A 13,885-nucleotide genomic window follows, 5' to 3' on the forward strand; every position below is an offset into this window, starting at 1 on the left:
GGTAAAGCCAGCCACTTGGGAACCTGAGATATTTAGCATCGTGGCTGGGCCCCCTTTCCCAGAGACTAATTTCCCAGCACCCTCACCACTGTCCCTGCCCCATTCCTTGGGGAAAAAAAATGTATTTTTCTTTTGTTAATACTTCCTGAAACTTTTGCGGGTACAGAAACCAGAAACTGATCTTCTGACAAAAGGGGCAAGAGGTGAGGCAACTGGAAACCTTCGGGAACAAGTTCCCTCCAAGCCCAGGTCTCTTCTCCCAGGCACAGCTCAGCCCACAGCCTGGATGTGCCAGCAGGGACCCTCACCCTGCACATATCGGAATACAGCCTTGACCCTTCCCCCTACAGCCCAGTGCTCAGTCCTGTGAAGGACCAAGGCAAGGGGGAAAAAGCCCTGCTGCCTGATCCGACGCCGCCACTCACAGACCCTCGGTTGATTGGCAGCACTGAACAGGTTAAGAAAAAAAAAAGACGAAAATACAGAAAAACCCCAAAACCCAGACGGGGAGACAAGCTGGGGAGAGAGTGTGCTGGGATCCCCAGTAGCCGGCCTCCTCCTGGTAGTAAGGGGGATGTTCAGGGGCCTTCCCCAAGCCGGGACAGTCCCCGGCGCCCGAGGGAGCCCCGTCAGCCACTGTGCCTTGCGGGCAGTGCTTGGGGTCGTATATCTGCCGGCCCAGGCCGAAGACCTGGCTGCTCTGGTTGGCGCCCTGAGTGTAGCCCGTCTGCAGGGACATGGAGGAGTTGTCACACTTGTTGGTTCCCAGTTTGGTGTCATAGATGTGCCGCCAGGTCCCGGGAACCATCATGCCCACCTGGCTGGCACACTTCTTTGTACCCATCTGGAGGCTGATGGTTGAGTGGTCCATAGTGGGGCAGGATGTGGTTCTTGGGGTCATAGAGATGCCTCCTCGTGCGGACATGGTCATGCCCGACTGGGTGGCACATTTGTTGGCGCCCATCTGCAGCCCGATGATGCACTGGCCAGCCTTCATGGGGGCATCGTCAAAGTTCCACTCCTGCTTCTCCCAGTACTTGATGCCGATTTCCACCCCATTCTGCAGCCCCTTAGTCTTGACCTTCCCCGCCAGGGTGAGAAGAGACACCTGCACCTGCATCATGTTTCCACTCTCAAACAGGTTGTTGGCCTTGAACAGGTCCACGGGGGTCATGTCGTAGCTGACCATGGCCTTGATGAAGTTGGAGAGGTTTTCTAGCTGGTGCCAGTTCTCATGGAGCGGTTGATCTTGGGGACTGAGCCCAGCTGCAGCTTGTTCATGAGTGTGCATAAGATAATCCCGTCCTTCAGGCCCTTCTGGAAGTTGGGGCCGATGGAGAAGCTGATGAGTCCCTCGATCCAGCTGTGGAGCTCTGCCTCCTTCTGGGGGTCATATTTGGACAGGAGCAGGTTCTTGACCTCGGCTGACAGCCCATAGGAGAGCAAGACCCACTGCTGGTACAAGAATCAGAGCTGAAGTCCAGGTGACCCCTGGTTTCAGCAGAGAGAACAAGGCAAAAAATTGCTGTCAAGTGTTGTGACAAATTTCACACAAATCTCATATCCATTCATTTGCCAACTTTTATGGCTCTCTGAAATCTTTATATGGTATCGACACACCCTGATTCTCTTTTTCTGAGAGCTGCCAGGAAATCAGTGTGCTTTTGAAGCCCTGCCTCTACTGACCTGACCCAACTTTCCAGCCATTATTAACTGGACAGTTGGACCTGTCAATCCCTATCCCAGGATCTTGGAATTGGGATGCATAGTTACTAGTGACTCTTCTGAACTGAGGACTTGGAAACTCAGGAGATGTGGGACAACTCTGTAGCTATATGCATGGGAAAGTGAAGAAAGCAAGTCTGGAGAGATGGGTGAGGCAGATGCAAAGAAAAATGGAAATGAGAGAAAATGAGAGTGAGAACAGAAATATTTAAATTTATAAATTAAAATTTTAAAATAGGGACTAAAAGAAGATATTGGAAAGTTAGGTGTTACCTACTTAGACACTTGTATTAATAAATGACAGCACACATATCAAACTAGCATTAGCAAAAGGCAAGCAGGTAGCATTTATTATGACTCTCTATGACTCTCTTTCTTGCTTGCTGTTGCTCTCATTTTCTCCCACATAATAGTTGCAATGCTCACAGTGACCCTATAAGGAGTTTTTATCATCCCAATTTTTAATTGAGGGGCCTGAGAGGTAAATGATCAAGTAATTTGCCTAGAGTTTGAAAGTAATGGGCATAGAGCTCAGATCCAAATATATCTCATGTCCAACATTTGTTTGTCATCACAAGACAATGTTTTATCCTTACATATATGTGTGTGTGCATATTCATGCTTTTTATTCACTGGCCCACTACTGTTATTATCCATTTTGGAATATGACAGCTCAAAAGGTGGTAACTACTTTCTATTTGCTTTATGTTCTGTCTCACATCTCAGTTTAGATGTATTCCTATAAAAGAATGGTAAATCTAGTAGGTATATAATTCCCAAGAGCATATAATGCCTAATTTGAACACTAAAGAAAATCCTTTAGACACAAATCCAACACATGAGGAGGTTTAAATAAAATGGGAAAATGTGGAAGGACAGAATTCTCAATGAACCTATTCAGATAGAAGAGGCTTTTAGAGTCTATGTGCCTACAGCCTCTTCTGAAAAAAAAAGTACAGAACAAGAGGAGAATCCCACCCTCCAGGAATAAAGGCCCAGTGGCTGTGGCTATTGCAAACAGTCACTTGATTCCTGATTGTAGGGACTTCTCCCAGATTGGCTGTGGGAGTTATTGCAGCAGTGTAGGAAAGGGACAGGTTCTGAACCCAGAAAGCCCTGTGATGGACCCCTGCTTTTGCTGAGCATTTGCTATTTGGCCTTGGAAAATTTACCTCCCAGTACTTCCATTTCCCATCTGCAAAATAATCTTTCCCTTGGAGTGCTGTTGCAAGTACTAGAAAGGATGAGAAATCCTTATGGATGGCACAAGGGAGGCATTCGATAGATACCATCATTGTTATCACCATTATTGTGCAAGGGGGAGAGAGAATATTAGGGACTTTACTGTACCCAGGTAATAATATTCTGGGGCTATGCACACATGGCTGGGGCTTCTGGATTCTTACAAGTTGGCTGAAGCCTACAAATGGCCAATAAATCTCTGTCTCCACTCAAAGAGAAAGAAAGGATCTCCCAATCCCATGACTCTGGAAATCCTTCAGATAAAAGTTCCCTTCTTACTGACGAAGGGAACTTTGTTGGCTCACATAACTGGACAGACCACAAAAGTGCTGATTTCAGGACCAGCTGTATTTGAAGCTTAACCTCAAACTTCAGGGGTCTCTCTCCTTCCCTTAATTCTGCTTCCCACCTTCCAGGTTGTCTCTACAGTGTGGCAAAACTTTAAAGATAAAAAGGGCTGCCAGTAGCTATATCTTCACACACTCTGCTTTCAGCAACTCCATGAAAATATTCCTTTCTAGTTGCTCCTGGAAAAGCCAGAGAGTCACACTGCTTGGACCAATTTAGCTCATATGTGCATCATTGAACCAATTCCTGGGACCAAGGCAAGGAAATTATACTGGTGGGTTTAGACATGGTTCCCACTCACAGTCCTGGGGCTAGTACTGAATTCAGCCCCGCCTAAACCATATAAACTGAGAGTGAGGTAAAGGAAGTTCTCCAAGAAAAACAGAGGCGCTATTAGCAGCAACAGAAGAAAATGGATGTTGGCAGGCTAAAACAACAAATATGCAGCATAGGCTCTAAATAACATCAGTGGAAACTATAATCACCAATATTTACTAAATGTTTATTGTGTTCTGGGATAAGCACTTTTCATTAATTTCCTCACTTAATCCTCACAAAAATGATCAATGCAGATATTATTATAATTATCCCCACTTAAGGGATAATGAAACTGAGACACAGAAAGGCCAAGTATTAATCATTTGTCTGAGGTCATGTTGCTAGGGAACGGCAGGGTTGGGATGTGAACTTGAGCCATGGGACTTAAGAGTCCACATGTACTTTTGTGAGCTGAATAATTCCCCCAGCTCCACACCCCACCCCTACCCCCACTAAGATATCCAGGTCCAAATCCCTGGAACCTGTAAATGTTAACTCGCAGGGACTTTGCAGGTGTGATTAAGTTAAGGATCTTAAGGTGGGGGTGCTATCCTGAATTAGCCCAATGGGCCCCAAATGTAATCACAAGTACATTTGTAAGAGGGAGCCAGAGGGAAATTTGTCAACATAGGAGAAAAGGCAGTGTGATGACAGAAGCAAAGACTGGAGTGACATACTTTGAAGATGAAGGAAGAGGCCAAGACTGGAGGAATTTAGATGGCTTGTAAAAGCTGAAAAAGGCAAGGAAGGAAACATTCTCACTTGGAGCCTCCATAAGGAAATTTCTCTTCTGTTGTCTCCTACTCTACCCTCCCCTCCTCCTTTCTCTCCACTTCTCTCCTCTCCTCTTCCTCTCTTCTCCCCTCCAGATCTCCCAGCACTGCTTGCATATGGCTCCCCAAATGGCAACCCCATCTGTGTTAGGCGGAATTCTAAAGTGACACCCAAAACTCCCAGCTCCTGGTGCATGGGCCTTGCATAATCCCCAGGACTATGAATACCATGGATTTCCCTGCCATGATTCAGTTATATTGTATGGTAATTTCTCCTTAAGAAAAGGGGTTTAGGCTTAAGAAAAGCCCTTAAAAGAGTCTGGGCTCTCCCTGAGAAAAAAGGTGAAAAGCATGAAAAGAATTCAATGGAGGAAGATTCTCCATTACTGTCTTCAGAGAGGAAGGACAAGGATTGCAAGTGGCCTCTAGGAACTAAGAACAGCACCAGTCAACAACCAGCAAGAAAATGAGAATGTCAGCCCTACAACGACAAACACACAAAATTGAATTTGGCTAACAACCTGAGAGAGCTTAAAAAAGAATTCTTCCCCAGAACCCTGATAAAGGCGCACAGATCAGCCAATGCCCTCGTTTCAGCTTTCTGAGACCCTGGGCAGAGAATCCAGCCACACAGGGCCAGGTATTAGCTAATACGTGGGTACTGTTTTAATCTGCCAAATTTGTGGTAATTTGTTACACAATAATAGAAGACTAGTATATTATTCCTGGTCTATGCAATCTCTCAATTCAAACACCCACCAACTATAGTCTTTATGTCCTTAAAGAATAGAGAGAGCTGGTGTGGTGGGGCATGTCTGCAGTCTCAGCTACTTATGAGGCTGAGATGGAAGGATCACTTGAGCCCAGGAGTTCAGGTCCAGACTGGGCGACAGAGCGAGACTCTGTCTCAATAAATAAATAAATAAGTAATAAATAATTTAAAAAATTTTAAGCAAAATAAAGAGATTCATCTTGTCTCTAGTTGGGTCAAGGGTCCACCACTAATCTAGACAGCACTGGCTGTCAAGGGTCCACCACTGATCTAGACAGCACAGGTTTTCCACCACCTACACAGTAGTGGTTGTGGATATACAACCTCAGGGAAGGGGAATAGGCAAGGCAGCCAAGCTGGCTGGTGTGTTCTGCTACCCCCCTTCCAACTTGTATGTGACAGCTTCCTATTAGTGTATTTCCTGCCTTGAATTATGCACATTTTCTCTCACCTAACTAGCTCATGAGTTCATCAAAGGCAAAAAGGTGGTATAGTGCAGTAAGACAAACAGTATCTTAGGGGACACAAAGAGCTGGATGCAAATCGACCTATTTGCTGTGTGAGCTTAGACAAGTCACTTAACATCTCAGGATTCCTTTCCCTATTTGTGAAACAAGAGTAATATACCTACCTCACAGGGCTGCTGTGAGAATTAAATGAGATTAAATAGGTTGTGCCCTTTGTGAGTCTTTGATAAATATCAATCCCCTTCTACCATTTTTAATCCATTTTCTATGTCCACCATAGCAGCTGGCACAACAGTATAAGCTTATTCCTGCATCAAATCAAACAAATAAAAGCAATCCACATGCTGATGGAAAGGAGTAGGGCAACAAAAAGCACGGAAGTAGCCCAATTATTACATGAGCAAGGTGTCAACAGAGGATAGGAGTCCCCTGGATTCGAGTTGGCCAAGAAAGTAATAATGAATAACAAAATGATAGCATCAGGCATTAATTGGAAGCATTCTGTAATGTATGCCAGGCACTGTGCTGAGGGCTCCCTTGATGTAACTCATTTAATGGGGCAACAAGGGCCACTCATCAGTATTATCATTACTCCACTTTACACATGAGGGATAGAGATCCAGAGAGGTGAAATGATTTACCCGGGCTAGGAAAAGGCAGGGTCAAAATTCACCCCTGAGTCTATATGACTCCAAAGTCCAAAGCTTTTAACTACTACTCTTCTTTAAATCTCCATGAACATGACATTCCTTTTTTGGAACTAAGCTTCAAGTTGTTGCAAACACCTGTACCCATGGAGACTAAAACTGAATGATAACATATAGTTCCTTTAATTGACTTCTAAACTCTTTTCAAATATTTAAATTTCCAGGAATTTTTTTTTAATTACAGGGAGAGAAGAATATCCAAGAAAAGGATAATGGGCTTATGTCTGCCAAATCAAAAGTAGCTATTCAGAAAACTCCAGAGCAACTCCATTTCCTTGCCTAGAGGAACACTCCATTGAGGAAGTCTTCCAAACAATTTCTGCTCGATTTTTAGTTGTTTCGAAAATTAAGACAAAATGAGAAGACTGTCTTCTGTCTGCAGAAGCCAATAGTCTCTGATTTTTTTTTTTTTTTTTTTTGGTCAGGACTGAAATCTCTCCAGGGGCTAAAAATTCTGTACACTGCTTGAGGTATCAGAGAAATTCTGTGTCACCCTTGAAAAACAGCATTTCCCCCAGGAACCTGGCATCCTTATTTTTATTCCTCACCCAGACCGGGCATGGGGTCCTCACCTCTCCACTACATAGTTTCACAGCTCGCTCTGGCTGCTACAAATGCCCCAAGGTGCACTCTGATAGTTTTAATAACCTTGTCCATTCCCCATTTAAGAGTCAGCCATTATTGCTCAAGCTTTTTCAAGCCAGCTGGAAATTCACCTTGGCAAGAATTCTGTCCTTGTTGGACACTTCCCCCTGGCTTTTCAAACTTAGTAAAAGGAATTGAGACCTAGTGGGAAAAGCCCGCCTGTCGTTGCTTTCCTTCTAGATTATGTATGAAATCTCCCACAGGGCTGCCCTGGCTCTAGGCTAATTAGACTGTTTTATTATACAACAGTATCAGGAAAAACTAAGGGCAGTTCTTTACGCCAGCCTCCAGGCCCTCGTCTCTGAGAGTCTGGAGGATCTGTAGAAATCAGAGAGCAACACACGGAGGCCTGCAATACGATTTGCTTACATGGATGTCCAGTGTGTGGTTTTGGAGCCTGGGCCCCATTTAAATAAAGTGTTAAATAAAACCAAAACATTGGATTATTAGAGTTTGTTAAGTGGTCAGCGATCCCCAATGACTATGTCTGTGAGCCAGGGTTGGACCAGAAAAGCCCCGTTATCTAGGAAAGTGCTATTCAAGGTGTGGTCCACCAATTATCAGAGACCAGCCCACCAGGAGGGAGGTGCAGACATGAAGATCAGCATTTAGAAATCTCTGTAGTTATTTGACAGTACTGGGACATTTTACAAAAGTACCAGTCCACAACAGACTAGAAATATAAAAATTAAAAATGAGGTTTTTATTGGTTTAATGCTTGTTTTTTAATCAGAGTTTGAGAAGCACTGATACAAAAGACAAACTGAAAAGAAGAAAGGAAGAGGGGTAGAAGAAAGGAGGGAGAGAAGAAAGATAAGGTAAGAGAAGTAAAAATAATAATCTTTGAATTATATAATTATTTACAACATGCAAAGTATTTATGCATATATTATGCCACTGGGTCTGTCATCCAAGATCTTCCTTCTGTTTTTCAAGCACTCCAAGCACCTGTCCATCTTTTTCCTTTGTTCTCTTCTTTCCTTGGGATGTGTTCCTCTCCCCTGGCTTCCTCTGTAATTATGATCCCAGTTCACATGTTACCCCTCAGGAAGCCTTTTCTAGCCACCCAACCTAGAGTGGTCTCCCTCATCCAGGCCACCCATCTTCATCATAGGGCCATGTTTATTTTTTTTTCTTCTATGAAACTTAAAACAATCCCAAACTGTTGTGTTAATGTATTTGCTTATTGTTTCCAATCAATCTCCCCACTAGAATATGAGTTTCTTCAGAATAGGCATGCTGTCTATTTTGTTCACTTTGTAACTCTCTTGGCTAGATAGTGCCTGGCATGGGGACAAGTACATGAATGAATGAATGAATGAATGAATGAATGAATGAATGAATGATGAATGGCTGAATATCATAGGTATCAGTGTTTCCATTTAAAATGTAAGGAAAATAAGAGTTTTAAGATTTTACCCGAAAGAATTTAAAGTCTTTCCCAAGGATGCATAGCTCCTCAGTAGAACCAGGGCTCCAAGTGAGCCTCTTGACTCCAAAAGTACTGCTACTTCTACCTTATGACATTACCTGAGGTAGAAGTTTCTGGCGAAAGATCTATAGAGCCTTGTAATACACAACAAGAAAAGTCACATAGGTTGCATGTAGCTACAGTCAGCTTCTGCTGTTGTAAATAAAAATCACTCTGAAATTAAGGTGAAAACAGCAAAGGCCCAGGAGATTGAGTAGGGGATCTGTTTCCTACTGAGTTGACATCTAACCCTCGCCTACCCTCCTCCCTGCCAGCCCCCGCAAAATCCCTTAAGTGCTCTCTATAATTGTAAGACTGGTAAAAGCTAGAACTCTGGGGCCAGACACACTGGAGTCCAAATCCTTAATTCTTTTCTTACTTGGGCAATAAGTAAATTCCTACATGTCTCTCTTACTTTGCAGGGTATGTGTACAATTAAATGGGGTGACATAGGCAGGTGCCTCCAGGGATATTCAACCAAGATGAATTCCCTTTTCTTCTTCCAGTTGACATCTCTTTAACATCAGCTAATTATACTGGTGCCAAGTGGATGGAAGAATGAGTACAAAATGAATAAGGATTTACAACCCACACAGCTTTTCAAGGTAGTTAAGGGCTTACCACAGTTAGCTTTACCTTGTAAATGTGCTCTTTACATTTACCCCCCACCCCCCAACTAAAAAAAAAATTAGCCAGTCTATAACCTTACATGCAGTCTCACTGCTAGGAAAATGACCTGCTAAGAAATTGATCCTTATTTATATAAAGGAGTAAATGGCTGCTTCCAATGCCAAAATACAATTATGTGAGGAAATACCGTTCTTGAAAACTCAGTCTCCACTTTATTTCTGCTTTTCTTCTCTGGCAGCTTAACAAGGAGAAAGATTATGAGCTTTGAAAACAGATAGGCAAGGGTTCAGATCCCAGTCCTGCTATTTGTCTTCATACGTCTAATCTCAGTTTCTGGATCTATAAAATTGGCATAATACTTCTTACCTTGATGTATTCTTGGTAGGCCTGGAGATCCCATAGCACAGGCTATAAAAGGTGCTCAGTAAACAAGAGCTTTAATCCCTCCTCCAAATATTTGGTCCTAATCACGGGAGAAAATGTCTGACCACAGAAGCCTAAAGTGAGGGGCACCATTACAATAGACCATGCCTAGAACATAGTAGGTATTCAATAAATATTTGGTGAATGAATAAAATGGAAGTGTGATTTGTTTGCAACTGTCAAAGAGGAAAAACTTTCACCTGAAAACTGGCATGGTGTCCCAGAATTTTAATTGATGACATTAGCACTTATTCACAAGGATCTACCAAGAACTAGAGCAGTTTTGTGTAAAATCTTTCTTTCGGTCGTCTTTCAGCTCCTCCCCAACTTGGTTGAAGACCCCATGATCTAAGGTCAATTGTGAGTGATGACATGGTCTATTAGGAGTTAGGTTGAAAGTACCAAAAGTAATATGTCCATGTCCACCAAAGTGACTCTATTCTCCATGGGGGAGGAGCAGATCCCCATGGAAGGAAGATTCCAGGCTGCCAGCCTCAAAGCCATCCGGCCTTGGTTTAGAAACACACAGTTCCTTCCAAGCAAGACCCCTTACTGCATTTGAATTTTCAACTGGGTTCAACCCTTCCTGTCAAGAAAATGATGCCTGAAATGCCATCCTGAAATTTGATAAGAGAAGGAAGAGAGTCAGGCAAAAATTGAAGGTCCTGCGAGGAACCTCCATGGTGGGGTTTGCAAAGCTATGCAGAAATTCAGATCCAGCACTTAGCAGCAGAGATGTGGTTGTCTGTCAGACATCAAGCCTGGTTTGTGAAGCTGTCAGTCGCTGCTGTGAACTACAAAGTCACAGCGTGAACTGGCCAGGACCCAGGAGGATTTCCACAAAATGAAAATCCTGATAAAGCAATGCCAGCGAGCCCAGGGAACACGGGAATTCTCAATAATCCTGGTGTTCCAGGCCTCCAAAGCCACGTCAGGGCTCCTCTCTCTTTGTCTCTCCCCAGTCCCATGTCCTCTTTCCCCCATCCTCTGGCTCTCCCCCACCCCCCACCCACCCCACTCCCCTCTTTTATTTACCAAATTTTGCATGATTCAATACATTCTTCCTAAGTATCAAGCACAGACTGTGCCTTTCTCTCCTCCTTTCTGCCCTAGATTAGCTTCATTACAAAGTTGTGGCCTTCAGCCTCCACTGGGCCTTACATGCTCCTTGGAGTCTTTCTGCATTTCTCTGGTCAGCACTCTCCCCTCCTCCACACAGGCAACTTCATGCTCAGCAAAGCTTCTACCTGGGCATCACCCTCTTTACTGACAAAAGCTCCTCACCTCCTCCTTCACAGTGAAAATGGAAGCCATAAGGCAAGACCTCCCTCACCCATCTACTGCCCGGTTCCCCAATGTGGGATCCCCACTATTGTGATCGCTATGGTGAGAACATTAGTGCATGCTCAGGACCCCATTCCATCCTGTGCTACCTCCTCAGGAAACCTATCCTGTGGGTCAGTCCTTCCTTCTCTCTCCAGATCTTTTCTACCAGTTCTTCTCCATCAATACTTAATATACTTCAGGTTATCCCATCTTGAAAACAAACAAGCAGACAGACAAAACCCCTCTTCTTCCTGGGCTAGCCCCTCTGGTTCTCTCTTGCCTTCCCTCAAACCTCAGACCCTCACTGTTGAAAGCAGGTGGACACTCATTGTCCCTCTCTTCTCTCTAATAAGATTAGGAATTATGGATTAAAGTAGACTTGAGTCAGAGTCATTCTTCCCCCATCTGATTTGTGTGATTGGGGGCCATAGTATTTAATTTCTCTACATCTCAGTTTTCTCAAGTAAAGTGAAATGAATATTAGTTCTACTTATTGGATTGCTGTGAATATAAAATATGACAATATTGATAAAGAGCTTAGCACAGTGTCTGGCACAAAATAAGCTCTCAAAAATGTAGCTATTGTTATTATTATTTGATTTTTTTAAACTTTGCAATCTGCCTTCTTCCCTTGCCATTCCACCACCATTGCTCTTCTCAAAAATGTCATTATTGCTAAATTTAATCAAAGATGATTTTTCAGGCTTGGCATGGTGGCTCATGCCTATAATCCTAGCACTCTGGGAGGCCGAGGTGGGAGGATCACCTGAGCTCAGGAGTTCGAGACCAGCCTGAGCAACATGGTGAAACCCCATCTCTACTAAAAATACAAAAAAATTAGCCAGGCATGGTGGCACACCATGCTACTTGGAAGTTGAGGCATGAGAATTGTTTGAATCTGGGAGGTGGAGGTTGCAGTGAGCCGAGATGGGGCTACTCCAGCCTAGGCTGGAGACTCAGTCTCAAAAAAAGAAAAAAAAAAGATTTTTCAGAATTATCTCACTTGACCTTTTTGCCACAATTGGTGACATTTTCCCTTGTAAAACAAGTTCTTCATCCACTTGTTAGTCTCCTTCTTCTAACATCCTGATACCTATAGATGTCTCTCAGAGTTTCATGCCTCAAACTTCCTATTTTTACTCTTTTATATTCTCTCAGTAATCTCACCTATTCCTATGGCTTCTACAAACTGACAATGCCTAAATCTAAATCTGCACTCCCAAACTTTCTCCCAAGCTCTAGATTAAAACATCTAACTTCCTGTAGGGCACCTCTACTAAGATGACTCTCAGGCACTTCCAACTGTCCCAAGCAGACATAATCATCTTCCCTGTGTGTCCCTGTGTGGACCATTATCACTCACCCAGTTGACCTTCCAGAAACCCAATGACACTCACTTCCTTCGCTCCCCTTCATGTCCAGTTCCAACTCTACCTCTGACATGTGCCTCAATCCATTTGTGTATTTCCATTCCTACTGAGGCACTGCCTTGATTAACACATAATTGTCCCCTGTCTAAATTACTGTCACAAATTTCCAGCTGACGTATGTGTCACATCTCTTCTAATCTGTTCTCAACTCTGTAGCCAGGAAGAGCTGTATTTGTTTAGTTCCATTTGAGTCAGACTTTTGAAAATGCAGAAAGGTACAAAGAATGGTAAAATGAACACTCATATTCCCACTACCCAGAATTAACAGTAATGTTTCTAAAACTAAAATCTTACCATATGGCTAGTCTGTAAAATGCTCATTGGCACCTCCTTGTCCTTAGGATCAAGTTCAAATTCAGTTGCAAAGTTGATATGACTCTCCATGATTTCCAATCTCTTCTCACTCACACCTCTCAACTCAACAATGTGAAATCCAGATCACAGCCAATTATTGTGTTCCTCCCAAAATGACAGGCTCCCTCTCCCCTCCAGGCCTTTCCACTTTTGAGGAGGAGGGCATAAAAGGGATGAGAAACTGCCTGAGTAAGGAACAGTGCAGAAATAAACATAAGAATGTAGTTGGCAGTCAGCCCATAGAAGTGATGTTCAGAGCAATAACTTAGATCATGCAAGTGACATCACAGAATCTTAGAATTGCTCAGAAATATATTAAAATCCAGCCCTCCTGCATCCACCACTGAACCTACCCATCATGCCTTCAAAGAACCTATATCTGAAAAGTAGTAAAGAACATACAGTGTATGTTTTGCATGTTACGGCTTTTTAATGTACTCAAAGGAGAGTATATTATACATGGAGACGGATGATCATAATTCTCTAAGGCTCCTGGAAGGCAGAAATCTTTCCCCTGACATCTCTCCAAGGGGGTAGAGGTGATCTTTGAATGCAAAAGGAAAGAAGGTCGGTAACTTCAATTAAGTAGTCCTTTTCATGAAGACAGAGGAAGCATCCAAAGGTTTCTGGCAATTCCTTTGTTTTATAGAGATAGTTAAAAGGAAACCAAGAAGGAAGAGAAATCTTTTCACTTCTTGTGACAGGCCTTGCCAATTGTCTTATTTTAAGGAAACACTGGTTTTTTGTTTTGCTACCCAGTTCCAGTAAATGATGCCTAGAAAATGGCACAGCCATTGTAATCCAGAATTCTCTTTAGTCTGTACTGAAGTCAGTTTCCAAAAATGCCTACACCATTCAATGCCTGATGCTATTTGGATTAACAGAAAAATTAGTGAAATATCAGTATATTGCACAACCACACAGACAGAATTATTTATGAAATGAGTAGACAACATGAAGGAAAATGGATTGTACAAATAAGCTGCCTAATCCACAAGGTTGTAATGGAAATTGCTTCCATTTCTGTGGATGCTTTAAGATGGAAGCTTTGTTGTTTTTTTCAGAAGTCAACAGTTGTTAACTGATCACACCTCTGCTTCTACAATGATTTTTGTAAAATATGAGAAGAAAACCAAAGGAACTTATTGCTGATTTTTAAAGGTATTAATGAAAGAGAAAGAAAAGGAAATCTGTGGGTGAGTTCTTTATACGTGATGAGGGGTTTTTGTTTGGTGATTGATGGTCTTCATTACG

General features: G+C 43.0%; 1 pseudogene; it reads right to left on the bottom strand.

The window, feature by feature from the left end:
• Nucleotides 347-1,441, bottom strand: CNN2P6 (calponin 2 pseudogene 6; annotated as a pseudogene).

The sequence above is a fragment of the Homo sapiens genome, chromosome 3, assembly GCF_000001405.40.
Source record: "Homo sapiens chromosome 3, GRCh38.p14 Primary Assembly".
NCBI lineage: Eukaryota > Metazoa > Chordata > Mammalia > Primates > Hominidae > Homo > Homo sapiens.